Source organism: Homo sapiens, chromosome 22 (genome assembly GCF_000001405.40).
Source record: "Homo sapiens chromosome 22, GRCh38.p14 Primary Assembly".
In the NCBI taxonomy this organism is placed as follows: Eukaryota; Metazoa; Chordata; class Mammalia; order Primates; family Hominidae; genus Homo; species Homo sapiens.
In genome coordinates this window covers 40,098,836-40,126,451 of record NC_000022.11, presented here as the reverse complement: position 1 = coordinate 40,126,451, position 27,616 = coordinate 40,098,836, and the positions used below count along the sequence as shown (strand labels likewise).

At 42.5% G+C, this 27,616-nt stretch overlaps 1 protein-coding gene and 1 pseudogene across 1 annotated transcript in view, besides 1 other annotated feature; one reads left to right on the top strand and one right to left on the bottom strand.

Annotated features, from left to right (window-relative positions):
• Window positions 1-27,616, bottom strand: part of TNRC6B (trinucleotide repeat containing adaptor 6B) — a 290,975-nt gene that overhangs the window by 209,357 nt on the left and 54,002 nt on the right. The window contains exons 2-3 of the mRNA NM_001024843.2: window positions 9,324-9,397; window positions 590-680 (exon numbers count right to left, since the gene is read on the bottom strand). Coding sequence (NP_001020014.1) covers window positions 590-634 — 45 coding nt within the window. The 5' untranslated portion in view covers window positions 635-680; window positions 9,324-9,397. The remainder of the gene's footprint in view (window positions 1-589; window positions 681-9,323; window positions 9,398-27,616) is intronic.
• Window positions 19,366-20,199, top strand: RPL7P52 (ribosomal protein L7 pseudogene 52; annotated as a pseudogene).
• Window positions 24,508-25,028: an enhancer, noted in NCBI's record as "OCT4-NANOG hESC enhancer chr22:40497428-40497948 (GRCh37/hg19 assembly coordinates)". NCBI's record gives its function as "activates a minimal SCP1, AML or CMV promoter by ChIP-STARR-seq in primed H9 embryonic stem cells {active_cell/tissue: H9 hESC(primed)}" and the evidence as "EXISTENCE:reporter gene assay evidence [ECO:0000049][PMID:30033119]".

Here is a 27,616-nt window from a genome sequence, read left to right as displayed (position 1 = left end):
TGGACATAAAGATGGAAACGGTGGACACTGGGGACTCCAAAAGGGAGAGGGAGGGAAGGGAACAAGGGTTCAAAGACAAGCTCTTGGGTACTATGCTCACTACCTGAGTGATGGAATCACTTGTACCCCAAGCCTCAGCATCACACAACATACTCATGCAACAAACCTGCACGTGTACCTCTAAATCTAAAATAAAATAAAATAAAATTTGTAATAGAAAAACACCTAAAAATTATCAGTGACTGCCTCTGTGCAGCAGGAACAGGGGACCAGCTTTGACTCCTGACTTTATATACTTCTGATTTTTTATAAGCCTATAGTAACTTTCGTAACAAACTTTAAAAGACATAGTATTAGTGTTCTAAAAATAAATTATAAAGTTCTCTGTAGTTCAGTAAAATTGTTTTAAATTAGCATATAGGATTAAAAAGTATACTGAAAAGAAAAAATATTTCTCAATCTTATGTTAGGTTCTAATTTAACTCAATCGAATTTTTACAGTCATGTAAAATGAAATACCCATTCTACTCATCCACAGCCTCTACTGTTCAATTTCTACCCAAACTGTACCTTTCAGTAATTTACTGACCTTGGAACTGCTTTCTTCCGATACTTCTCCCTCATTGGTTTGCATGGGAACAGATTTTGTGCAAAACTCTGCAGAAACACAAAAATACTGCCTAAAAGAAGAGAGAAGAAAAAAGTATGTAAGGAATTCAGGGCAAAAAAATTTTTTTTTCAAAGGTTTAGACTGAAATTCTCTCAATAAGGCCACAGATACTGTGAAGTAACTTTGAGTAACTTTGTGTGTGTGTGTGTGTCTATGCACATGCATCTTAAAGGTAAGAAAGGGAGGGAGAGAAGCAGGGAGGGAATGTTTCCCATCTTGGGGGAGAAGGGTAGATAGGAAAGGTTTCCAGCATTGGGATATTAATAGCTCTAGATTTCTTTCCCTATTTTATTTGGCTTTTGGCAGAGGTGGTGGTGAAATTCTTACAGCAGACACTGACCTGCAAGAAAGTATGGCAGTGAGCAAAGCGGCGCACCTGTTGTTCCGCCCCTGCAGGTCACAGTGCCTGGGTATTAGGCTAAGGCTATTGGAATTGGCAGGGTTTCCCGGGCTTATAATTTATGAATAACGTTCCTGCTTTCTTTATAACTGAAATTAAAGTACACTATAATGGCTGGCCCCACTTTTCATTTTTAGGAAATGTGCTTAATAAACTAAATGTCAGTTCATTTATTTTTATATGAGACTATTTATAGGGCAAGACAGTAAAAAGTAATTAAGTTTTCCTCAAAGAATAAAATGAGTCAAGAAAAAGTTTGTTAAAATTTTATGAATTAAAATGTACCAAAAGGAAACTACTAAAAATTTATGCAACATTTTCAAGAATTCATTACATATGTAATTATTGAGGAATATTTTTTTTTTTTTTGAGACACAGTCTTGCTGTGTCGCCCAGGCTGCAGTGCAGTGGTGAGAGTTTGGCTCACTGCAACCTCCACCTCCTGGGTTCAAGCGATGCTCCTGCCTCAGTCTCCCAAGTAGCTGGGACTACAGGCGCCTGCCACCACACCCGGCCGATTTTTGTATTTTTAGTAGAGACAGGGTTTCACTATGTTGGATAGACTGGTCTTGAACTCCTGACCTCGTGATCCGACCGCCTCAGACTCCCAAAGTGCTGGGATTACAGGCGTGAGCCACCGCTCCTGGCCCTATTGAGGAATAATTATTCAAATGACACAAATCTCCATTATAATACAGGTATGAATATTTACAAACCTATCAGCTACTCTAAAGCTCATAGCTACAAAACATAAAAACTAAAAAAGGCCAGGTGCAGTGGCTCATGCCTATAATCCCAGCAATTTGGGAGGCTGAGGCAGGTGGATGGCTTGAGCTAACGCGTTCAAGACCAGCCTGGGGGCGAAACCCCACCTCTACCCAAAATACAAAAATTAGCCAGGCGTGGTGACACATGTATGTGGGCCCAGCTACTTGAGAGGCTGAGGTGGGAGGACTGGTTGAGTCCAGGAGGTCAAGGCTGCAGTGAGCTGTGATCACACCACTGCACTCCAGCCTTGGCAACAGAGTGAGACCCTGTCTCAAAAAAAAAAAAAAAAAAAGGTAAAAAGATGCTGGTAGTGTATGTTTTTTGTGTGTGCAAGAAAAATCTATTAATGCACAACGCTTGATGATCTGTTTTGGTGTAGGCTTCTCTATAACCAGCCAAGACTCAAGGCTAAGAAGGCACTTCCAGGAAGCTGTTGCCTCATCTACTGGGTGGGAAGGGGTTACCAAAATATCTACTTTGCTCACCCACCTAGCAAGGTCTTGTTGGGAACAAATGCATATTTATGTGATGTGAAGTGTAAAATCAGTACAGTAGAAGCTCTCAATTGATATCCATTCACTTGCTCCCAGCTTAATCAACATTGCCCATCCTCTCTGTAAAACACATGAGGGATGCTCACAGCAAGTGAAAATAGGCTTTCTCTAGTTGATTTTGTCCCTCACCTATTTATCACAGTTGTGCAAAAAAAAAAAAAAAAAGTTCTCTTTCTATAAAAATTAGGTTGATAGCATTGGAAAAACTCAATAACTTATCCAGAAAGATTTTATGTGTAATTTGCTTCACAGATGTCTTTAAGTTCTCCTACTTCACTGAAACAGAGACTGCATTTCTCTGTTTCATTATAGGCATAGCTGAACCAGATGATGCATTATAGGCATAGCTGAACCAGAAAAACTCCTTGGAACTCCATTCATGCTTGCAGGCCTGTGCTCAGCACACTCCTTGGTCTGGTGCTGTACTGTCTGCTTCCTCCAGACCCACGCTCCATTCTCCGCCTAACTGTGTGCCCCAGGGGACACCATCATTGGGCTCCTTATCTTCTGGCTGCTGGCTGGGCTAAGCCAGTGGGAGGCACTGACTGGAGACAGGAGGTCGGGAGAGGAAGAAGGGATGGCAGTGGTTGTTTCTTCTATGAAAGGGCACTGCTCTCAACTTGCTGGCTTCTCCTTCAGCTTTAATCTTTTTACTTTCATCCTTTCTGGATTCTCCTATTTGGCTGTTCTATTTTTCTTAAGTCTCTTTCTAGCTTGACTTGCCTGGCTAAATTAGTTTTTTCCTTCTCTGACAATCACTGCTATTTCCCGTTACCGACTCCTCCTCCCTATCCCCCAACACTGCACACTGTCATCTCTCCTCCCCCATGCTATCACCCTCTACCCAAGGCTTTAACCAAGACTTCTGCCCCTCCACTCACTTCTTAAAATCCATCGTGTCCCAATAAGATCCTACCAAGGCCCAAGTCTTACCTTCTCTACTACTACAGCCCTCAGTTTTCCAACATGTTAGAATGGAAATAGGGAAACCAACAAAGGCTACTGAACCACCCAGTGGCTGACAACAATTGGGAACCTTACTATTGCTAGACCTGAAGCGGAAGGGGCAGTGACTGGAACCTGGAGGGGGAGCTGTGGCCGTCACTGAAGAGTCCAACAGACCCGAATGCTTACGGATGTGTGACCTTGAGGGAATTTACTCAATTTGTCTCAGTCTCAGCTTCCCTACCAAAACTTGGGAATAGTAGTTATTCTGAGGATTCACTGACAATGTATTTGCACTTGATACATAATAGGTACTTAATAAGTACATGGAGATGACCAACTCACAAGACATTCTCTACTCTGAATTCTTATTCTTTCAGGGTCCGATCCCCAGTGATCTCCATTTCCCTTTGGACATGCTGTGAAAGGGGAATGCTTCTTCCTGGCTCCTGAGTTTCCACCTTTGGCTCCTCTCCACCTGCACACAATCCACTCCAGAGAAGGTAACAGGATCTTACTTTAATGGTGAGTTTGGAAGGAGAAACAACGTAGGTGGAGCTCAGCCCTGTCTTTTCCTTCCTTCTGGAAACCAGCTGCCCCAGGAAGCCTGCATTCTCCTCTTCTCCTCCACCCATAAACACAGGACCCTCACAACTACCCGTGAGTAGGTCAGTCTGTGTTATTATGAAGTTCAGTGTTAAGTTCACTGGCCTGTAGATGTGTCACATTCTCCAATACAGCTTTTTTTTTTAAGCCCGGCCCCTCTGCCCAGTGGCACACATAATAGCAGTGGCAGCGGGAATGGGCGGTCCAATACCGCTTTATTAGTCAGAGAAACAGTATTTTGGTCTCCCAAATGCCCTCCTTTTAAAAAGGAGGGAAAAATGAAAAGTGTAACAATTTCTCGCTGCATATAAGCTTTTAAAAAGGAGGACATTTGGGAGACCAAAATATAGAGAGCCCAGTCAAGGGAAGGAGAGTGCTATTTATTGGGTCTCAAAGACCCTAACTTCTGGTGCGTGGCACCAAAATTTTGATAAATAGACAAGAACTAAAATTCAAGGGAGTAAAATACATGTGGCATTTTTGAGGCTTCTGTTAAGGCCAGGACTTTGGGCCTTGGACTTTAATGAGGGGGCACAGTATTTTCTTGTAGAAGCTTATATTAGGCTTTTTACTGTTGTTTTTATAGTTATACACTAGCTTGTAACTATTGAGGCTGAATTAGAGGTTTATAAACCATAGGCACACAGTATTTTGACCTTAGCAGCGACTGTAGTTATGGCAACTTTGTCTTCACGTAAGTGGCTGTTTCTATAGAGACAAGGCTGCGTACACTAGGCACATAAGCCTTAGCAAAGGGTTGGGGGCTTTGCAGGCCTCATCAAGAAACAAGCCACAGACGGTTGTGGCGGTGGTGGTGATGCTGGTATTGAAAGCTCATTTACATATCAGCTGTGCAGGCAGTCTCAGCATACACTGGCTGCTCTGGCCTAGCAAGCAAATGCCAGCTGTGCTGGCCTCAGCAAAGGGAATAGGGCATTAGTGGGCTTGGGTGGCTTCAGTGTACAGAAGGCTGCTGCTTGACCTTGAATTATGCCGGCACAGCTTTTCCTAAGCAGGCATGGCTGAGGAAAGATTAGACTTCAGGGAAAACAGACTTTCTTCCTACAGGCCTTTTAGACATCAGAAAGTGGAACAATTACTCGCTGCATATAAGCTGCAAAGCAGCTGAATTTCAAATAGCACACATGCATTACAAAACCAGTGAAGTTTTTCCTTTAAATTGCTTGTGCTAGGTTTATATAGGTGATTCAAAAGGAAAATGAAAATTAAGAGGTTTCTGGCTATACAAGGAAGGAAGGAAGGACGGAAGGGAGGGAGGGAGGGAGGAGGGAAAGGAGGAAGGAAGACTGGCATAACCCTGGCTGACCTAGACTTACTGGTTAAGAACAATGTACTAAGAAACAAAAGCTAGGGAATGCTAGGGGAGGAAAACTTTTTTCCCTGCTCCTGATGCTTCCTTCCACATGGGACAATATCCAATTTTTCATATTCCTGGCCTTGTATCCCTGACTCAGGCTGTCAGGGGTGAAGTCACTTCTCTGATGAGTGTGTTTGGAAGAAGAAACCAGGCTTGCATAGTCCAGCCCTTTTCTCTCCCTTTTCCCTTGGGGACACCTGTTCTGCTCTGCTCCTTTCGTTGGCTAGGAGGCAGGCGAGAAGGCAGGTCTATCCCAGACTAGTGGTGGTGGGCGAATAAACCTGTTAAGTCCTGCAGTTCAGTATTAAAAATCTGCTTGCCCTTAGATTTAAGCCAGTTCTCCTATGGCAACTTTATGAATGATAAACGTGAAATTTTGATCTCCACCTGTCTGCCTTACTCCTTTGTGCTAAGTCTCTGTTGGTTCAGAACTTGAGCAGGGAAGAGAATATTACTTATTGGATACCCTTTGATCTCAACTTATATCTGACATGTATCCTCCTCAGAATTAAGTTCAGTTTTCCATATCAGCCTTGTCTTCCAAATTATTCCATTACCACAGCATTAATCACACACTTTTACTTCCTAAGCTTTTCACTAACCTCATTTCTAATTACTCTCAAAGCACCCTGTATTCTGCATTCACGCAGGCAAATCTTTCCATTCTCAGCACACAACATGCTAATCTCTCTCTATGTATATCCTAGTCCACACCCTACTGGAAAACCCTTCCCCTCATCACCAATCCACATCTCTACCCTTCTAATATCTATTCAGTATTTTTTTTTTTTTTTTGAGACAGGGTCTCACTCTGTCACCCAGGCTGAAGTGCAGTGGCATGATCACGGCTCAATGTAGCCTCAGCCTCACTGGGCTTCCCAAGTAGCTGGAACTACAGGTACACATCACCATGCCCAGCTAATTTTTGTATTTATGGTAGAGTTGGGATTTCACTATGTTGCCCAGGCTAGTCCTGAACTTGTGAGCTCAAGCAATCCACCTGCCTAGGCCTCCCAAAATGCTGGGATTTAGGTGTGAGCCACAGTTCCTGGCCTCCAGTCAATTTTTATTTCTAAAAATCTTTCCTGATTAAAACCATGTAATGTGCCCACTTACTAAATGTCATATTGATACCCATTTTTATCTTTGTCCTTTATTTCACTTGCTCTCATTTTTTGTTGTTTTGGAGCTGTCCTTAGTTTTCAATGTTTCTTGAACAAACCTTGATAACATTCTTGTTTGAAGGCATGGCTTATGGTTGTGTCTAGGGCAACTTTACTTTCCTTTTGACAAAACAGAAGGTAAGTAAGGTAGGCAATGCAGAAGTGTGCGGTTAACTAAGGGTTCCATGTAAGAAGTGACAAAGTCTAATGTATCAGTGCTAACAGAGTCACAAAAAAGTCAGGGCAAAGCCCACTTACATGAAAACTAGAGGGGTGAACAAGTCATGCCAAAGTGACAAGTCATGTCCCCTCATGAGATGATGAGACAACACACAAGTGTTTACGTATGCATGTATGTATGTATGTTATCTATGTATGTATTTAGAGACAGAGTCCTGCTCTGTTGCCCAGGTTGGAGTGCAGTGGTGCAATATCAGCTCACTGCAACCTCTGCCTCCCAGGTTCAAGCGATTCTCCTGCCTCAGCCTCCCAAGTAGCTGGGACTACAGGCACGTGCCACCACGCCTGGCTAATTTTTGTATTTTTAGTAGAGACAGGGTTTCACCATGTTGGCCAGGCTGGTCTGGAACTCCTGACCTCAAGTGATCCGCCCGCCTAGGCCTCCCAAAGTGCTGGGACTATAGGCGTGAGCCACCGTGTCCGACCGACACAAGTGTTTAATTTCTGTTTTTGCACATCACTTCAACTTGGAGCAGTCACCAGTCTGTGACCTGTGGTAGGTGGTGGATAGTCTTGACCTGGCACAGTGCTTGCTACACACATGACAGGACTCAGCAAATGTTAAGAACTAAATACAAGTAATGTCCTACAGTACCTGTGCAAGTTCTTCCAGGAAAATTGCCAAATATGTTAATATTTTCAAGAGCCCTCCAGGATCCAGCCCTTGCCTGTCTCTCCAGCCTCGTCTGCCTGGTCTCTGTTCCATTTGTTCCAGCCGTAATGAACATCTTACAGCTTTGCCAATATGGCAGACTGTTTCAGGTTTCCATGTTTTTGTTGCTATCACTCCCTCTGCCTTTCCCTCCTCTGGTGCCACAAGGGGAGACCCTACTTTCCAATCAAGGCTCAGCTTTTATGAACTATTTCCTGATCCATCTCTAGGCAGAAATAATGATTCCTTCCTCAGTGCCTCCAGTGGATCTTGTTTGAATTCTATTATGGGATCTGTAACACTTTATTGGATTTATTTACTCACATAGATTCCTCTATGTGATAAGGATTAGACTGTCAACCCCTTGATACCAGACGCTATATCTTGTTAATCTCTGTATTCAGTCTACTCAAAACTGTGTACCTGGCATTTAATATGTATTCAATAAATTTCTATGTAAGAATGACTGAATTAATCAATGACAGTGCTTTTTCTTTAAAATGCAATAGATATCAATTCAATAAACATTTACTGTGCCTCTATCACATGCCAGATGGTGCTGGGATACTGTGTTATGCTGGAATGAGCTGTGGCTTTGAAAATGTAGAACCGTTCTTCTTTGTCAGTTATTAGCTGTGTGGTCTTGGGCAAGTTATTTAACTTTCTAATCCTGATATTTTCATCCATAAAGCTGTGCAGGAAAAGGTGTTATAAAGACTAAATTAAACAATGTGTGTAGAACTCTTAGCAAGGTGTCTAAGAGCATTTTATCTTATTTCTCTATACTACTGAGGCTGAACTGGAGGTTCAAAAACCATAGGCCACACAGTATTTTGACCTTAGCAGTGGCTATGGTTATGGCTACTGTCTTCAGGTAAGTGGCTGTCTCTATAGAGACAAGGTGCATACACTAGGCACATAAGCCTAGCAAAGGGTTGGGGAGAAATTCATCATCAATTTATCATCCTACCCTGGACCCCTCATATTAGCTCATATTAGCAATCCTACCCTGGACCCCTCATATTAGCAAGTCCTATCATTTTTGCTTTCAAAATTTGTTTCTCAGATCCACCCACAATTCTTCATTTTCACTGCTGTCATCCTTTCTTGCTTGTGGGGGCCTCTTTTAGGCATTGAAAATAGGTTAGCTCCTTTCCAAGCAGTCTCAAAGGGTTTATATATTAGTAAAGGAGACAGATACAAATAAACAACTTTAATATAAAATATTGAATAATTTATTACTGTAATAACAACAGGTGCTCTTAGAATACAGATGAAAAAGAAATTCTGCCAAGGGAGTTTGGGAGAAGAAGATAACAGGAAAAATACAACAAGAAGAGTAGATAGTCACATTCTTCTCCCTGCTTCCAAGCTCTAAAAAGAGAAAAGCATCAACCAAGGCACAAAGCCACGAAAAAATACTATATATATATCTAGGGAAAAGAAAATGGTCCATTAAGGCTTACAGATAAGGATTCACTAAAAAAGCAACCAGAAATGTTGACTGGAATTAGGTTTGAAGGGATCTGTGGGACAACATCTGCAGCAACTGGATGCCATGAGGGCTGTTTAAGCAAAGGCATGACCTGAGTAAATCTATCATTCAGAAAGTGAACCCTGGCAGTAATGTGGACTACAGACCGCAGCAGGGAAAGGTGAGAGACAGAGACGCTAGGGGAACACTCACATAAAATTCACATAATCCTAATAACTAAGTTGTAGCTTTCTAGCATGAGGCACCAAATGTCAGTATCCATCTAAATACCAGTGCTTTTAAAAGGCACCTACCATATAGTAGGAAAGCAAGGGGCTGGTATGATGGTCACCTTAAAAATATCTTTCTGTAAGAACTTGGTAAAAGGGCAACAATGTTTTTGAAAAAGTACTTTTCTTCTTTTTAAGAAGACTATTGCCAATACATGGTAGATATATATTTTAAAAACTTACCTTTGACAGTACCTGGGGCAACACAAGCCCGTGAAGATGAGTCTAGGTTACATTCAGTGCAAAAAACCACAACCCTGAAAAGAGAAAAAAATCACTATGAACTGTATGCTCATAGCAAGATGCCACATGAAACAGTGGCACAGGCAGACTTGTGGAAATCCAGCTCCTCCTTTCACCAGCTATTGTTTCTAGGCCCGCAGCCCAACCCCTCAGAGCTCAGCTTCCTCAACCAACACTGGGAACAATAACAACACCTTCTTCATAGGGTTCTTTTGAAGTTTAAATGAAGTATGTGTAAAACTCTTAGTACAGGGCAGGATACCAAACACATGCTCAATAAAGGCAAGTGGTTATTAATATTAAGGCTTTGTACAATCAAGGGCATCACCCCCTACCCAGGTGTTTAGGTCAGACCCTGACATCCGTCATGAATTTCTCACCCAACCCCTCATATCAGCCCATCAGCAAGTCCTATCATTTCCTCTTTCAAAATCTGTTTCTCAGATCTACCCATAATTCTTCATTTTCACTGCTGTCCTTCTTGCTTGTTGGGGCCATTTCGCTGGTTCTCTGTTCCTACTCTTGCTCCTCCCCAATCCATTCCCCCATAATGGCTGGAACAGTCTCTTCAAAATCAATTCATAGCAAGTTGCTAGTAAATGCAGTAAATATTTTATTTATTCCATGATGGAATCTCTCTCTGAAATATATATTCATGTATTTGAATACAGAGATATAGGAATATATATTAAATGGCCAGCAACTTCATTTTACAATGAACAAACAAACGCAGAAGGAATGCTCCTCAAGGTTGGAGCTACCTATGTGTGTGTAGGTGCTCAAAGCAATGGCGAGCCCAGCAGAGGCTCATCTGGGACCAGCATCTACACCGCTGTCAGAAAGCTGGCACTATTTGGAAGTTGGCCCCTTAGTTTCACAGTCAACCCAATACTTCTGTCCAAGACAGCGTGCTCCATTCCCCACAGCTAGAGATTGTAAGTCAGGGCTTCAGCCCCACGTTAGAGCACAGTGCTGAGATGGTGCTGCAGGGAATCTGAAAGCACCTCACTGCCCTGCTATCTGTCGTCCCCTCTATTTGACTTACTTTATTTAATAGTGTTTGAATCAATACATCTCAGATGGAACTGTGATGAGAATTAGAAATATTTTGACTTGTCTCCCTATCTCCCTACTGTACACTGTATCACAGCAGTCTTTCTTGCTGAAGAGCAAATTTGACCTCTGGGTATCTCGCCACCTAAATTCAGTCAATAACTACCTTTAGGGTAAAATCCAAGGCCTCTCCAGACCCATTATCACTTCATGACTGCACAGTTTCCTTACTCACAACACACACATTAATGTCTGAGAGCCCTCTGCCTATTCCCTTCCCCTTTTCCTTTAGGTGTTATCTCCTAGAAATTTTCTGTATCCTCCCTGGTTGGACAAAGTGTTCCTCCTCCGAGATACACATTATATTGGTAATATCCACGGGTCCATTTTCTTCACTCAGCAGGAGCTCCTTGATAGCAAGGACCATGTCTGACACACCTTTGAATTTGGTATTGGGTAGAGTCCAATAAACATAAGCTGAACTGAATCCCAATGGGATCCCAGCAATTCAGTACTTGAATGTGGATGGGTCCCCTAATTAAATGCATTGGTAAAAATTGAAGTTAGCTGCAACCTCCAAGATGGGTCTGGCCCTTACAGAGAACTCGAGGCTACGTGGTTATGTCTGACCCTCAGCACTTCAGAGGACGACTGGATTCATTAATTTTTTGTCAACCGCAGAGACTATCAAGAGAATAACACTAATTTTTAGTTCCCTATTCTGATTAAAGTTTCCCGCTTAGGTTAAAACACAGCCTCTTCTCTGGATCTATCATTAGTCCAAATAGTGTGCCAACCCTGTAAAGTTGTTCATTACATGTCTCCTTAACAGACAAGGCTAGAAAGAGACCATGTCACTCAGTCCCTAGCCTGCTTGGCAGTGAGTCTCAGACACTGCCTGTATTCAGAAGGGAGGGGAAAAAAAGAATTAAGGTAGAGGACAGGTAGGCTAGGGAAACTGAGCAGTTTTCCAAGTACTCTTGAATCCAGGTTTTACAGAACAGCTGCATTACTTTCTCTGCCAGGCTGTGAACCTCTGTATCAGGTACACACGTATTCAAAATAAACATAAAAATTAATTATAAAATCAACATTTGAAATTATCTAGTTGAAGTTACCTACAGCACTATTTTCCTTCCAAGGTATAAATAGCGGCAAATTCCTCCACAACTGCTTTGAAATGCTCAGAACTACACGGTAATCCTACCATCTGATCAGGTACAGCTGCAGCAGTAAAACTGTGAACCACTCCAGTTTTCTCTCTTCTCTTTCAGAGCAGCCAAACTAGTCTTGGAATTCATAGAAGGGGTGGGAATGTTCAGTGGATCTTGGGTTAAATCAATCCCCAGGTCCTGCTAAACTGCAAGCCGGCTGCAAGAATTCCTCTAGGCCGGGCGTGGTGGCTCACTCCTATAATCCTAGCACTTCACTTTGAGAGGCCGAGGCAGGAGGATCAGTTAAGCTCAGGAGTTCGAGATCAGCCTGAGCAACACAGGAAGACCCTATCTCTACAAAAAAATGTAAAAAATTAACGGGGCATGGTGGCATGTGCCTGTAGTCTCAGCTACTAAAGAGGCTAAGGCAGGAGAATTGCTTGAGTCTGGGAGGTCAAGGCTGCAGTGAACCATGATTACACCACTGCACTCCAGCTTGGATGACACAGTAAGACCCAGTCTCAAAAAAATGAAAATAAAAATAAAGAATTCTTCCAAAGCCAAGTACCTAACTAAACTCACAGGATTTAATTAGAACTAAATCTTTCCTAGAGAATATGGCAAGTTGAAAGAAATACATATTCAACAAACTATATTTATTTTGCTGGTATCTTACTAGTATCACCTCTGAGTATGGCAGGGTTTTAATTTTCAAACTTGACTATTCAGCACAATTATTTTACATTTAAATTCTCATTTTAAAAATTCAAGCAGTATAGAGAGGCTCTTAACCAATGTCCCCTCTCCTTCCATTCCAGTCTTCCCAGGACTCACCACTCCTATCAGTTTGATATCCAGCATAATTCTTGGGATACAGATTATTAAGAATACACTATAAACTTTTAATTGAGTCGCAAATAACTCTGAAAACCCTGTCTGCCTACATTGTTGGCAACTGGCCTAACTTCAAGCAAGATGTCCAGAAGAGATGTCTTAAGTGAGGCAGCAGATGTGAGGGAGGAGCACAACACCAGCAAGGAGGCCTGGAAGGTCTTCCCAGGAAGCAAGGGGGGATGCCAGGAGACTTGGTGGCAGACAGGAGGGTACCACCCATCCAGCTCTGTGAGCAGGGCACCCAGCCCAAGCGGACAAGAAGATATCTAGTTAATTAAGTAACACAAATAATAATATCAAAAGTTTAAGGAGGCCACGTGTGGTGGCTTACACCTGTAATCCTGGCACTTTGGGAGGCAGAGGTGGGCAGATTGATTGAGCTCACGAGTTCAAGACTAGCCTGGGCAACCTGGTGAAACCCCATCTCTACAAAAAACACAAAAAAATTAGCCCAGCATTGTAGTATGCACCTGTAGTCCCACCTACTCAGGAGGCTGAGGTGGGAGGATGGCTTGAGCCTAGGAGGCAGGGGATGCGGTGAGCCTAGATCACACCACTGCACTCCAGTCTGGGCAACAGAGCCAGACCTTGTCTCAAAAGGAGCACAGGTGGAGGTAGATCTGCTAGAAACAGATGGTTTTATTTAGTCCCCATACACAAGAGATTTACCATCATTCCAAGACCTGGAAATACTATCTTTGCAGTTTTAGGCCACTCCCTACTTCACTTCAACGCTTTGGAAGTTCTGTAAAAATACTGTCTGTCCATTCCTAAAAACATCCTCTTTAACCTTAAAATCTGTTCTAGCTATTGCGCTCCTCCTCCCCTCTTTCCCTTCCTAGTCCAGCTTTTGTTGTTGTTGAGATGGAGTCTTGCTCTGTCGCCCAGGCTGGAGTGCAGTGACGCAATCTCAGCTCACTGCAACCTCCACCTCCCAGGTTCAAGCAATTCTCCTGCCTCAGCCTCCTGAGTAACTGGGATTACAGGTGTGTGCCACCATGCCTGGCTCTATTTTTAGTCGGGGTTTCACCATGTTGACCAGGCTTGTCTTGAACTCCTGACCTCAAGTGATCAACCCTCTTTGGCCTCCCAAAGTGCTGGAATTATAGGCGTGAAACACTGCACCTGGCCTAGTCAAGCTTCTAGAAAAAGCAGTTTATATTTGTGGTCTCAACATACTAATTTCTCATTCACTTATTAATCATCACAACTTGATTTCTGTCCCTATCAATCTCAGTGTCAATGCAACAGATACTATTCAACTGTTCTTCCTTTAATCTTTCTCTAGCATTTAAAAGTCAGAACCATTGTCTAAAAATAAACACAAAATAAATAAATAAAAATCCGAAGCAGAACCACCTGAAACCTGTCATTTGGGAGCTCCTTTCCTGTCTTAAGAGTAAGGATACTGAAGATCCAGCCACTGGGCCAGGGGCATCCTGTTTTAGTTCCTGGTATCCAGGCTGTGTCGGGTCCTCCTGTTCCCTTGGGTCTGCAACCAGCCTTCTTATCATGGGCAGGGTTTGGGGTGGGTGAGACGGTGAAAAGCTGCTGCTTCAGCTGCTGCTGTACATGGCAGACTGGGGGACAGGGTCATGGAGAGGGAACCAAACTCAACTCTTGGCTTCACGGATTGAACTCAGTTCTGATGCCCAATCTGACATGGAGCAGGTTTAGTCCCTTCACCCACCCCCCTGGAAGGGCCCACGGCAGTACTTTTGCTACCTCTTGGTCTGTTTCTTTCCAGTCTGTTTCACAGGACAGTTTTTTTTCTCCCTGTCCTTTCATTACTGGTGTATTCCTCCTCCGGAGTCCACACCTCCCTTTCTCTTTTTATTACACACCCATCCTTTTGCTTTCTCTTTTTTGAGAGGGAGTCTCACTCTGTTGCCCAGGCTGGAGTGCAGTGGCGCGATCTTGGTTCACTACAACCTCTGCCGCTGGGTTCAAGCAATTCTCCTGCCTCAGCCTCCCAAGTAGCTGGAATTACAGGCGCCTGCCACCGCACTCAGCTAATTTTTGTATTTTTAGTAGAGTTGGGGTTTTACCATCTTGGCCAGGCTGGCCTTGAACTCCTGACCTCGTGATCCACCCGCCTCGGCCTCCCAAAGTGCTGGGATTACAGGTGTGAGCCACTGCGCCCAGCCTGGTCTTATGCTTTCTCATAGATACAGCTTCCCCCTGGATCTTGATGACTCCCAAGTCTTTCTCTAGTGCTGACCTTTCTTACAGTCTTTAGAACTATCTACATAACTGCCTGATGCAGCTCCACCTCAGGTGCCACAGGGCCCTAAAATAAAACAACCCTCCCCCAAAGCGTGTTCTTCTGCCTCACTTGGGAATACTGCCATCCCACTCAAATCAGAAGTCTGTGAACATCAGCAGTTCCTTCCTCTCACCAAACTGTCAGTTCTAATTCCCAACTATTCTAGTATATACTTCCTTATTCCTACTGCCACTGACTGCCCTGCTTCTGGCATAGCTTCTCACCACTCTTAAGCTAGTTATCTTTTCAACTGGTTTTCCTACCCTCAAGACCCACCCCTCCCCTACACCACTAGAATTACCTTTAAAAAGTAGAAATCCTTACTGCCTTTGCAATGTGCCTCAACCACCCTGTAGATAAAACCCCATTCCCACTGCGGTCGGCGAGGCCTGGTCCCTGCTCACCCCGGTCCCTGCTCGCCCCACTGCCTTCGCCTCCAAAGCCCAATTGTTTTCCATTTCCCTTGAGCACCACGTGGTTTCGCGTGCCGTTGAACGTGCTGTTTGCACCTGGACTGCCTTCCCACGGACAGGACAAATTTCTTCCCAACTTTCAAGATGCAGGCTTAGGGAAACCTGTTCTGTGAAGTCTTTCCTGACTCCCTCTTCTCACAGGTGATCTGGACGGATCCTTCCCCTGGTGAGCAACTGCACTCAGAACACACACTAGGCTTGCTTATGTGTGTGTACACTAGGAGGTGGTAAGCTTCCCGGTCTAAGGCTTCCTTATCACTGTCATTCAATATAGTGCCAGCACAAAGGACGTTCCCAATAAATTATTGTGGAATAAACACACACATTTTTATGAAAAAACTAAAATCAACTCAATACAATATGACATTCTGAGCTTACAAAAACAAAGCTGGGGCTTATCAGCTGTAACAGTCTATGAGGGCAGTGTACTACTTGCACAGCATCCCCAGACTTCCTGGGAGAAGCAGTGAAGGAAACTTTGGGACTGATGGTAGGACCCTGGCACAAGAATGTTAATCTGATTTTTATGTCTTGGAAGTCAGGAAAGGTTGCCTAAGAAAAACAAACTCAGTCCAAAGTAGGAATGACCAGAAAGACTCATACCCAACCTTGGGGTATTAATCCAGCTTGCTCAACTAATTTATGCCCTCCAGCCTGGCCCCAGAATAATCTGTCAATTCTTTAACAGAAAAGGCTTGAGAAAGTAAGACTGCCTTCTAAAAGCCTAAAACAACTGCAAATCACTTACAGGTAGAGGCAGGGATGGTAGGGAATTCACCGAGGGTTACAAGAACAGCAGAGGCAGCTACTGAAACAGCAGATTCAACTCAACCAGCTTTACTGAATGCTTACTAAGTACATGGCACTGTGCTCAGCAAGTTTTCAGAGCAAGGGCCTATGTCCAGGTTTTATTGCAATTGTTGGTCACATAAGAATTAAGCAGATTAGAGGTAATAAATATGTTAACTGGGTTGACTTAATCATTCCATATTATATTCATAAATCACAATATCACTTTGTACCCCATAAGTATATGCAATTATAATTTGGCAATTTACATTAAAAATTAAAATTAAAAGAAATAATTAAGCAGATTAACATGTTAACTTTTGTGACCAATTTATTGGTGATTAAAGAAAAACCTTTGTTCTTTTTCTATATTGCATATTGATTTTATGAGGTGAGATTGTTCACAAATTTTAGATGTATACTGCTTCTCCAATTAACCAGTGAGTTGAACATTGATAATGATGATAGTAATATGAATAATCATTAACAATTGTTTATGCTGTGCCCCGCACTGTGTACCTTGGAAGTCTAAAAATCTCTCATTTCAGATCTGATCCCCTTTTTCAGGGGCCTTACACTAAATATAAGGAGAAAAAAGCTAAGCGCTAAGCTGAGTGGCACAGAAGTTTAGAGAACGTAGAGAAAACGGTGAGCTAGATAACCTGTGCCGCCTTCAGAGAGAAACTGGGATTCCAGCTGGAACTGACAGGATTTGAAGCAGGTGATTCTCAAACCCTTTTGTCTCAGGATCCCTTTACACTTACGAAAATTATGGAGGACCTCAAAGAGCTCTTGTTTATCTTAATTTTAATTATCAATATTTGCCATACTAAAAATTATAACTATGAAACATCAGAAGTATTAGTTCATTTATTCGGCCAACAAACTTAAAAAAGCTCACTATCACTGATCATTAGAGAAATGAAAAACCACAATGAGATGCCATCTCATGCAAGTCAGAACGGTGATTTTATATTAAAAAGTCAAGAAACAACAGATGCTGGCAAGGCTGCAGAGAGATAAGAACGCTTTTACGCTGTTGGTGGGAATGTAAATGAGTTCAACCATTGTGGAAGACAGTGTGGTGATTCCTCAATGACCTAGAACCAGAAATACCATTTGACCCAGCAATCCCATTACTGGGTATATACCCAAAGGAATATAAATCATTCTATTATAAAGATACATACACGCGTATGTTCACTGCAGCACTATTCACAACAGCAAAGACATGGAATCAACCCAAAGGCCCATCAATGATAGACTGGATAAAGAAAATGTGGTACATATACATCATGGAATACTATGCAGCCATAAAGAGGAATGAGATCATGTGCTTCGCAGGAACACGGATGCAGCTGGAAGCCATTATCCTCAGCAAACTAATGCAGGAACAGAAAATCAAACACTGCATATTCTCACTCATAATTAGGAGCTGAACAATGAGAACACATGGACACAGGGAGGGGAGCAACACACACTGGGCCTGTTGGCTGGGGGTGGGTGGCGGGGGGAGGGAGACATCAGGAAAAATAGCTAATGTATGCTGGGCTTAATATTTAGGTGATGGGTTCACAGTGCAGCAAACCACCATGGCACATGTTTACCTATGTAACAAACCTGCACATCCTGCACATGTACCCTGAAACTTAGAAATAATAAACTATTGCTTTTTAAATTAAAAATGGTATTTCAAAGGATTAAAAATTTGAGGACAGTGGCACTGTTTTACATCTTTGCAAATTTCTTTAATGTCTAGCTTGAGCAACAACAGCTGCACCCAAATATATACTTTTGCATTCAATCTTTTGCAGTATCACATGTCTGGAAAAACTCCAATGTGCACTCATGGGAGAATGAATTTAAAAGGCATACAGCATCTTAGTATTATTAAAATAGTTGTGACCTTCTGAAAGGGTCTTGGATGGGAGGAAGGAGCACACTTTGACAAGTGTTCATTGAAAAAGATAAAGAAAATGGTCTAAGCAAGCAAGAGCTGGGCAAGAAGGAAATGTGTGGCTCCTAAGCCCTAACTTCCAAGAACACAAACCCCTACTCTTAACAGCTCACCTATAACCAAGCTAACCTCCGTGGTGAATCTCAGAGACAGAGATGGCCAGGGCAAGGCAGGGTTCTGCCGGGCTGTGCAGGGTGGTGCTGACAGCAGTGCCACCAGGGAGGCTCTACTGCCCTGGGCAACATTCTCTAGAGGCCACGTCAGGTTTTCCTCTCCAGAGCCTCCACTGTGCTCTCCTGCTAGAAGAGAAGCTGTAAATGGCTTACCAGAACTGCCTTGCCATGGCTTCCCAGGGCTGTGTTTACTAACTGCAAAATCATCTCCCTGCTGCAGTCTCAAAGTCTTCAGACATTTCTTGATCTGGCTGTCTTAAAAAGCAAATTTAACATCAGCCACGTAGCCAGGTTTTCCTTGCCAACAATCATGTGAGTTTGCTATTCTGTTCCTGTGCATCTTGCGCACTGTAAAAACAGTTCCTGGAGCATCATATGTCATGGATCTAGTTGCCATAAACTGAAAACATTTTCTTCATATTTTGTGGCACAAACTAAAAGCATTCTGGATGCGGTTTGCATACAGTCCATCTCTGGCCAAAAAAGAGGTTTAAATTTATGGATAAACAGAGAAAGGGGGGTAGCCACTGCCTTAGTTAAAGCCATTTTATTATCAAAGTCAATGTTGGATAGTGTGTATTTTTTAATTTAATTTTTTCCTGTGATTAATGTTCTGAAATTATCCTGCAATAAGTATAACCATGTTCATTTTATGTAGCGAGCTTAAATTTGTCTAACAGTATTTTATAGCTGACAGAAGCAGAGAGGAAACAGAAGCTTCTTTTTGGTCTCTTAAAATAAAAATAAAAAATAGAAACAGTCATGAATCTATATAGTTTTTCAGTCTTTTTTTATTTTTTAGTAAACATATTCATTAAGGCCCCTTAACAAGACGGGACAGATCATTTTTAAGTCAAAGTGAAACTGAAACTTTAAAAGACATTTCTGCTTCTGGGAATGGTAAACCAGGTAATGAAGACCAACCATTCTGCTGAGGACAGCCAGAAAGTCTGGATAGAATATTTAAAAATTTTTAAAGGCAGAGGAGTACTAATAAGTTAGCTAAGAATTGCCATACACAAAAATCAAATTCCAGGTGAACTGTATACTCAAATGTGAAAGATAAATAATAAAGCTTTTAGAAGATAATATGGGAAAATGCTTCATAGCCTAGGGGTAGGGAAGGATTTCTTAAATAGGATACAAAAAGTACCTAGTATTAAAAACCTGACAAACATGACTACATGAAAATTAAGAGTATTTGTTCATCAAAAGATACCCTCCCTCTTTTTCCGGCTGGAACCACGGAGGGTGTAGAAAAGAAGAAGAAGAAGGTTCCTGCTGTGCCAGAAATCCTTAAGAAAAAAGTGAAGGAATTTTGCAGAGCTGAAGATCAAGCGCCTGAGAAAGAAGTTTGCCCAAAAGATGCTTCAAAGGGCAAGGAGGAAGTTTATCCATGAAAAAGCGAAGCACTGTCACAAGGAACATAGGCAGATGGACAGAACTGAAATTCGAATGGCGAGGGTGGCAAGAAAAGCTGGCAACTTCTATGTACCTGCAGAACCCAAATTGGCATTTGCCATCAGGATCAGAGGTATCAATGGGGTAAGCCCAAAGGTCCGAAAGGTGTTGCAGCTTCTTCGCCTTCCTGAAATCTTCAATGGAACGTTTGTGAAGCTCAACAGGGCTTCAATTAACATGCTGAGGATTGTAGAGTCATATATTGCTTGGGGGTACCCAAATCTAAAGTCACTAAATGAACTTATCTACAAGCGTGGTTATGGAGAATTCAGTAAGAAGCGAATTGCTTTGACAGATAACACTTTGATTGCTCGATCTCTTGGTAAATATGGCATCATCTGCTGGAGGATCTGATTCATGAGATCTATACTGTTGGAAAATGCTTCAAAGAAGCAAATAACTTCCTGTGGCCCTTAAAATTATCTTCTCCATGAGGCAGAATGAAGAAAAAGACCACCCATTTTGTAGAAGGTGGAGATGCTGGCAACAAGAAGGACCAGATCAACAGGCTTATTAGAAGAATAAACTAAGGTGTCTACCATGATTATTTTTCTAAGCTGGTCAGTTAATAAACAGTACCTGCTCTCAAATTGAAAAAAAAAAAAAAAAAAGACAACCTCGAGAAAATGAAAAAGCAGGCAACATAAAACCAATAAAAGGCCCATATTCAAAATAATAAAGAGTTCTAACAAGTTCTAAAAGAGAAAAGGATAACCCAACAGGAAAAGGGGCAAGAGGCTAGATGAAACATGTCATCAAACGATGACAAAAAAACCAAAATTATCCAAATGGCCAATAAACATAGGAAAAGGCATCTAGTCTCAGTAGTAAGTAAGGTTGATGCAAAAGAAAATCATAATGATACACCATTATATACCACAATGGCTAAAAACATCAAAGTCTGATATGATTAAGTGTTGCTCGGGCTATGGAACAACAGAAATCTTCACACACTACTTGTGTGAATGCAAATTATTACATCTACTTTGGAGAATGGTTTGGCTTGATTCTGCTAAAGTTCAAGACAGATACGCCCCATGATCCAGCAATCCCACTCCTAGGTACATACCCAGCAGAATGTATGCACATGTACCCCAAAGGCACACACAGCAGCACTATCCATAATAGTCCCCAGCTGGGAACAACCCAAATATCCTCAATAGCACAATGGTAAGTACACTGGTATATTCATAAAGTAGAATGTCATACAGCACAAAAACAAAGGGACAGCCACATGTAACAACATGGATGAATCTCGCAAACATAAGGACGAGACACAAAAGGAGATACAGCATATGACTCCGTGTGTTCAAAACCAGGCAAAACTATAATGTTTACAGGGACATGGACAGTAAAAATAGAAAGGAAAATAAAGAAATCAAAAGAGTGGTTACCTGTAGGTGGGAGAGGAAGGACTGTGACTAGTGAAGGTCACTAAGAAGGGGCTGTTGGGCCGCTATAATGTTCTATTTCTTAACCTCAGAGGTGGTCGTTTCAAAATAATTCATTGTTTTACATTTGTACTTTATGCACTTTTCTGATTGTGTGATATATTTCACAATTAAAAAGATTTAAATCAAAACAAAAATAAAATTAATACAAAAGGAAAAATGGTATTTTTGGTATAACTTTAAAAATTAGATCACGGAACCCAAATTCCTCGGATGGCCTGCCAGGCCCTTCATCCTCAGCCTTGTCTTTCTAGTCTCATTCCTTACCACCCATCTTTTCTCACAAGTAGTCTGCCACACTTGCTCTCAATCGTGTGCTTTCTTTACCTTTACTTGTGACACTTCTCTGCCTAGAAAACCATGTAGACATATCCCAATCACCTTTCTGCAGACTAGCTACAAGCTGTTATTCAAGACACAGCTTGGGTGCCTCTCCTCTGAGAAACCTTTTCAGGAGACAGACTCCAGAGCCAGACTGATTGGTCTAAATTCCAGGTCTACCATTCACTAGTAGTGTGCGATTGGTCAAAGTACCACACTCAGTTTTGCGGCCTTCTCGTCTGTAAAACAGGGTAAGGGGTTGAAGTGAAGATTAAATGAGTAAACATATGTAAAATTTTTGGAATGTGCCTGGAACAGAGTATGCACCAGGTAAGTGTGAGCTATGATATCATCAATATACTCTGACACCCTCCTCTCTGCTCCCCACTCTACCTTGTTAGATCCTCTGCTTCTGGGTTCCCATGGCCCAGAATTATAGTTTTTTCTTGTATACAGCCTTTATGGACAGTTAACTCCTCAAAAGCAGAGACTAAATCTTTCACATCTCAATCCTCCACCATCTTGCACAGTGCCTGGCAGGTAGCAGATATTCAGTGAATATTTGCAGAATGAATAAACTGACTCCAAATTTGGATCTACATCACATACAGAAGTAGTCCTTTGGTGCTGCTCTATCCTGTGTGTACACCACAAAATGGAAGCATACTCTTGATAGGTTTCCTATGGCAATAACCTGAGAATACAGGTGTAGACTCCCTCTGGATAGCAACAAATGAGGGTAATACTACTTGTCCTGTCTACTTGTTATAAGGCTACTGTAGGGCTCAAATGATAATGACTATGAAAACCATTTTTTTTCTTCCCTGAGACGGAGTCTTGCTCTGTTGTCCAGGCTGGAATGCAATGGTGTGATCTCCGCTCACTGCAGCCTCCACCTCCTGAGTTCAAGTGATTCTCCTGCCTCAGCCTCCTGAGTAGTTAGGATTATAGGCACCCGCCACCACGCCTGGCTAATTTTTCTATTTTTAGTAGAGACAGGGTTTCACCATGTTGGCCAGGCTGGTCTTGAACTCCTGACCTTGTGATCCACCTGCCTCGGCCTCCCAAAGTGCTGGGAATACAGGCATGAGCCACCGGGCCCAGCCTTCTTTTTTTCTTTTAAAAGATAGACTTGGCTGGGCGCGGTGGCTCATGCCTGTAATCCCAGCACTTTGGGAGGCCAAGGTGGGCAGATCACGTGAGGTCAGGAGTTTGAGACCAGCCTGGTCAACATGGCGAAACCCTGTCTCTACTAAAAATACAAAAATTAGCCGAGTGTGGTGGCACATGCCTATAATCCCAGTCACTCGGGAGGCTGAGACAGGAGAATTGCTTGAACCTGAGAGGTAGAGGTTGCAGGAAGCCAAGATCGTGCCACTGCACTCCAGCCTGGGTGACAAAGTGAGACTCCACCTCAAAAGGTAAAAAATAAAGAAAAAAAAAGAATTATTACTCATAATAGCCAAAAAAGTGGAAACAACCCAAATGTCTTTTTTGTCCTTCAAGTAATCAATAGATAAACAAACTGTGGTAAATCTATCCAGTAGAAAACTACTCACCAATAAAAATGAACAAGCTACTGATACTACAACATGAATGAACCTCAAAAATATTGTGCTCAATGAAAGCAGCCAGACTTGAAAGACTACGTACCGTATGATTCAATTTTCAGGGGCTGCCTGGGGCATGGCGTGGGAAAAGGGACTGACAGCACTTGGGCAAGAGGGATCTCTGTGGGTTGACGGAAATGTTCTAAAACTGGGTTGCGAATGATGATGGTACAACTGTATAGACTTTTTTTTTTTTTTTGAGACAGGGTGTCATTCTGTCGCCCAGGCTGGAGTGCAGTGGCACGAGCAGAGCTCACGGCAGACTCAAACTCCTGGGTTCAAGCCATTCTCCTACCTCAGCCTCCCGAGTAGCTGGGAATACAAGCACATGCCATCATGACCAGCTAAATTAATTAATTAATTTATTTATTTATTTTTATTTATTTATTTTGAGACAGACTCTCACTCTGTCCCCAGGCTGGAGTGCAATGGTGCGATCTTGGCTCACTGCAACCTCCAACTCCCTGGTTCAAGCGATTCTCCTGCCTCAGTCTCCCGAGTAGCTGGGATTACAGGCATGTGCCACCATGCCCAGCTAATTTTAGTATTTTTAGTAGAGACGGGGTTTCACCATGTTGGCCAGGATGGTCTCCGTCTCCTGACCTCGTGATCCACCGGCCTCAGCCTCCCAAAGTGCTGGGATTACAGGTGTGAGCCACCACGCGCAGTCAATTTTTTTATTTTTATTTTTTTAGAGATGGGGTCTAGCTGTGTTGCCCAGGCTGGTCTCTTAACTCCTGGCCTCAAGCAGTCTCCCCATCTCAGCCTCTCAAAGTGCTGAGATTCTAGGTGTGAGCTACCACAACTGGGCAATTTACTATGTTTTAATTGTATATCTAAACTGGGTGAAGTTTATATATATGATGTATATAAATTATACACAAATAAAGGTGTTTTGTTATAATGCAAATACCCGGCACTCTTTTATAACTAGCTATGATTCTCACATATTTAAAATCTCATCCACACATGTGAGGCCAAATCATGTAAGACTAAGACAGAAGTCAGCTTTTAAAAATTAAGAAATAATTAAATGTCACATACTAAATATCTTAAAAACCCAAACTGTCCTCTCTATACTTATTTTCCAAATAATGAATCCTAATAAGGGACAACAACAAATAATGATCCTGATAAGCAGGCTTTCACTGTCATTTGTTTATTTCATCCCACCTGTACAAACACACACTTTGGCCTCATCTGCATTTATAATTGCAAACATGAGTATCTGGCACAATATCTCCCTCCTTGTTTTTGTCCAACAGCAAGCATAAGAAAAAGGTAAATCAGAAAGCATAGTATATAATGTTTTTTTAAAAAAATATATTCATATGATAAACACGATTTCTAAATAGGGTTTAAACTAACCCTTAGAAATTAACAGTTCTTTTATATACACAAATGTACCATAGTACTTCAGATTAAATTCTGCAAGTCCTAAAATGCTATCCAAACTAGTTTGCTGAACTGGAATTGTTAAATTGGATACTGCTTAAAGTAGGTCACTGGCTCGGCCATGAAAGTATTTGGTAATGCAGAGATCTACTTGCAAAGTCATCTGTCATAATGAGATTTGACTTAGACAAAACCAGAGAAGCGACACCGGTTGGGTGTCAATTGTCAGCTGTATTTTATTCAAATAAATCTCATTTTAGATTTATCTCACTGCAGATTCTTGAACTGGGAAATAACAAGATGAAAGAAGTGTTTTCCAAAGAGTAAATCTGGTGTCCATGTTTAGAAAATGCCTCTTTGCTTCCTGTCCTTTGTCCCACACATCTACTCAGTCTCTAAAGCCCATTAATCCTTCTTTTGAAATGTCTTTCAGCTTCATTCCTTTCTCTCCACTTCTATTCTCACCACTGCAGTCCTAATTTGAGTCAGGAGGCTATAAAGGACAGGAAAACTAGAAAAAAAAGCCCAACTAGAGACCATTAGAGTAATCTAAAAGGGGAGTGAAGAGGACTCAGTCTAGAGCAATGGTTCTCAAAGTGTGGTCCCCAGACAGCAGCAACAGCACTTGGAATCCTGATAGAAATGTGAATATTCAGACCTTATCCCAGAACTAGTGAGCCAGAAATGCTGGGGGTGGCGCCGGCAATGTGCTGTTAACAAGCCCTCGGGGTGATTCTGACATAGGTTAAAGTTTGAAAATTAGTTATTTAAAGAAGCAGGGGCCAGGAGTGGTGGCTCACGCCTGTAATCCCAGCACTTTGGGAGACCGAGGTGGGCGGATCACAAGGTTAGGAGATCGAGACCATCCTGGCTAACGCAATGAAACCCCATCTCTACTAAAGATACAAAAAATTAGCTGGGCATGGTGGCAGATGCCTGTAGTCCCAGCCACTCGGGAGGTTGAGGCAGGAGAATTGCTTGAGCCCGGGAGGTGGATGTTGTGGTGAGCCGAGATCATGCCACTGCACTCCAGCCTGGGCAACAGAGTGAGACTCCATCTCAAAGGAAAAAAAAAAAAATGCTGAAGAGAAAGCAATGGGCCCAGATGAGGAGAGAACTTGGGGACCTGCTGAGAATGTCTTCCACAATGTCCCTCCAATCTCCAAACCACCCTATCAAAAAAGAACTCTTCTCCAAACCTATCTCTAGGTGTTACTGACTTTTGATACCACAACCCTCTACAGTGCTTAGGTTCAATCTTCCTTCCCCCAGTCTCCATCCAATATAATACACTCATCCCTCAGTATCCTTGGGAGATTGGTTCCAGACCTTTGGTGTATACCAAAATCCATGGTTGCTTAAGTCCCTGAAACAAAATGGTATAGAGACTGGGCACAGTGGCTCATGCCCAAAACCCCAGTGTTTAGGGAGGCCAAGGCGGGAGAATCGCCTGAGGCTAGGAGTTTAAGTTCTGCCTGGTAAGACCCAATAATTAAGACTCCATGTCTATAAATTTTTTTTTTTAATTAGCCTGACATGGTGGTGTGCACCTGTAGTCCTAGCTACTAAGGAGGCTGGGGCAGGAGGATCACTTGAGCCTAGGAGTTCGAGGCTGCAGTGAGCTATGATTGTTATCACTGCACTCCAACCTGGGCAAGAGACAGACTCCGTCTCTAAAAAATAGGCCAGGCGCAGTGGTCACGCCTGTAATCCCAGCACTTTGGGAAGCCAAGGCAGGCGGATCACTTGAGGCCAGAAGTTCGAGACCAGCCTAGGCAACATGGCGAGACCCTGTCTCTACTAAAAATACAAAAAAAATTAGCTGGGTGTGGTGGCACAGGCCTGTAATCACAGCTACTCAGGAGCCTGAGGCACAAGAATCATTTGAACCTGGAAGGTGGAGATTGCAGTAAGCCAAGATCACACCACTACACTCCAGCCTGGGCAAGAGAGACCCTGTCTCCATAAATAAATAAATAAATAAATAAATAAATAAATAAATAATAAAAATAAAATGGAGGGGCCAGGCGCAGTGGCCCACGTCTGTAATCCCAGCACTTTGGGAGGCCGAGGTGGGCGGATCATGAGGTCAGGAGATCGAGACCATCCTGGCTAATATGGTAAAACCCCATCTCTGCTAAAAATACAAAAAAATTAGCCAGGCATGGTGGCGGGCGCCTGTAGTCCCAGCTACTCGGGAGGCTGAGGAAGGAGAATGGCGTGAGCCCGAGAGGCGGAGCTTGTAGTGAGCTGAGATTGCACCACTGCACTCCAGCCTGGGCAGCAGAGCGAGACTCCGTTTCAAAAAATAAATAAATAAAATAAAATGGAGAAGTATTTGTGTATAACTTGTGCAAATAACCTAATGCCCCCTCCTTAGGTACACATCTTCCTGTATTCTTTAAATGTAATCTCTAGGTTATTTATGATATCTAATACAATGCAAATGCTATGTAAGCAGCTGTTGTACTGTATTATTTAGGGAATAATGTCAAGGAAAATAGTCTATATGTGTTCAACAGAGACGCAATTTTTTTCCTGAATATTTCTGATCCATGATTGATTGGAGTCATGGATGTAGAACCCATGAATATGGAGGACCGCTGTACTAATCTTGTTGAGGCTCTAGGTAGTCAAGGAAAAAAGACACATACCACAATGTGGAAAATTATGATTAAAAGAGTGCTTCAAATCAGTGGAGAAAAGATGAATTATTTCAGCAAATGATTTTTTAATAACTGGCTAGTCACTGTGGGAATCCAGAACAGGAAGCTATATATTCCTTACTGTATGTTTTTTTTTCCTTTTTTTTTTTTTCGAGACAGAGTCTCACACTATCGCCCAGGCTAGAGTGCAGTGGTGCACGCGATCTCAGCTCACCACAAGCTCTGCCTCCCAGGTTCAAGCAATTCTCCTGCCTCAGCCTCATGAGTAGCTGGGATTACAGGCGTCCACCACGGTGCCCGGCTAATTTTTGTATTTTTAGTAGAGACGGGGTTTCACCATCTTGGCCAGGCTGGTCTCGAACTGCTGACCTTGTGATCCATCCGCCTCGGCCTCCCAAAGTGCTGGGATTACAGGTGCGAGCCACCGTGCCTGGTCCTACTTTATGTTTTCTTACTCCATATATCAAAATAAAATTCCAGAAAAATCAAACACATCAATTTAAAAACAAAAAGAGCTGGGTATGGTAGCATATGCCTTAAATCCCAGCACTTTGAGAGGCTGAGGCAGGA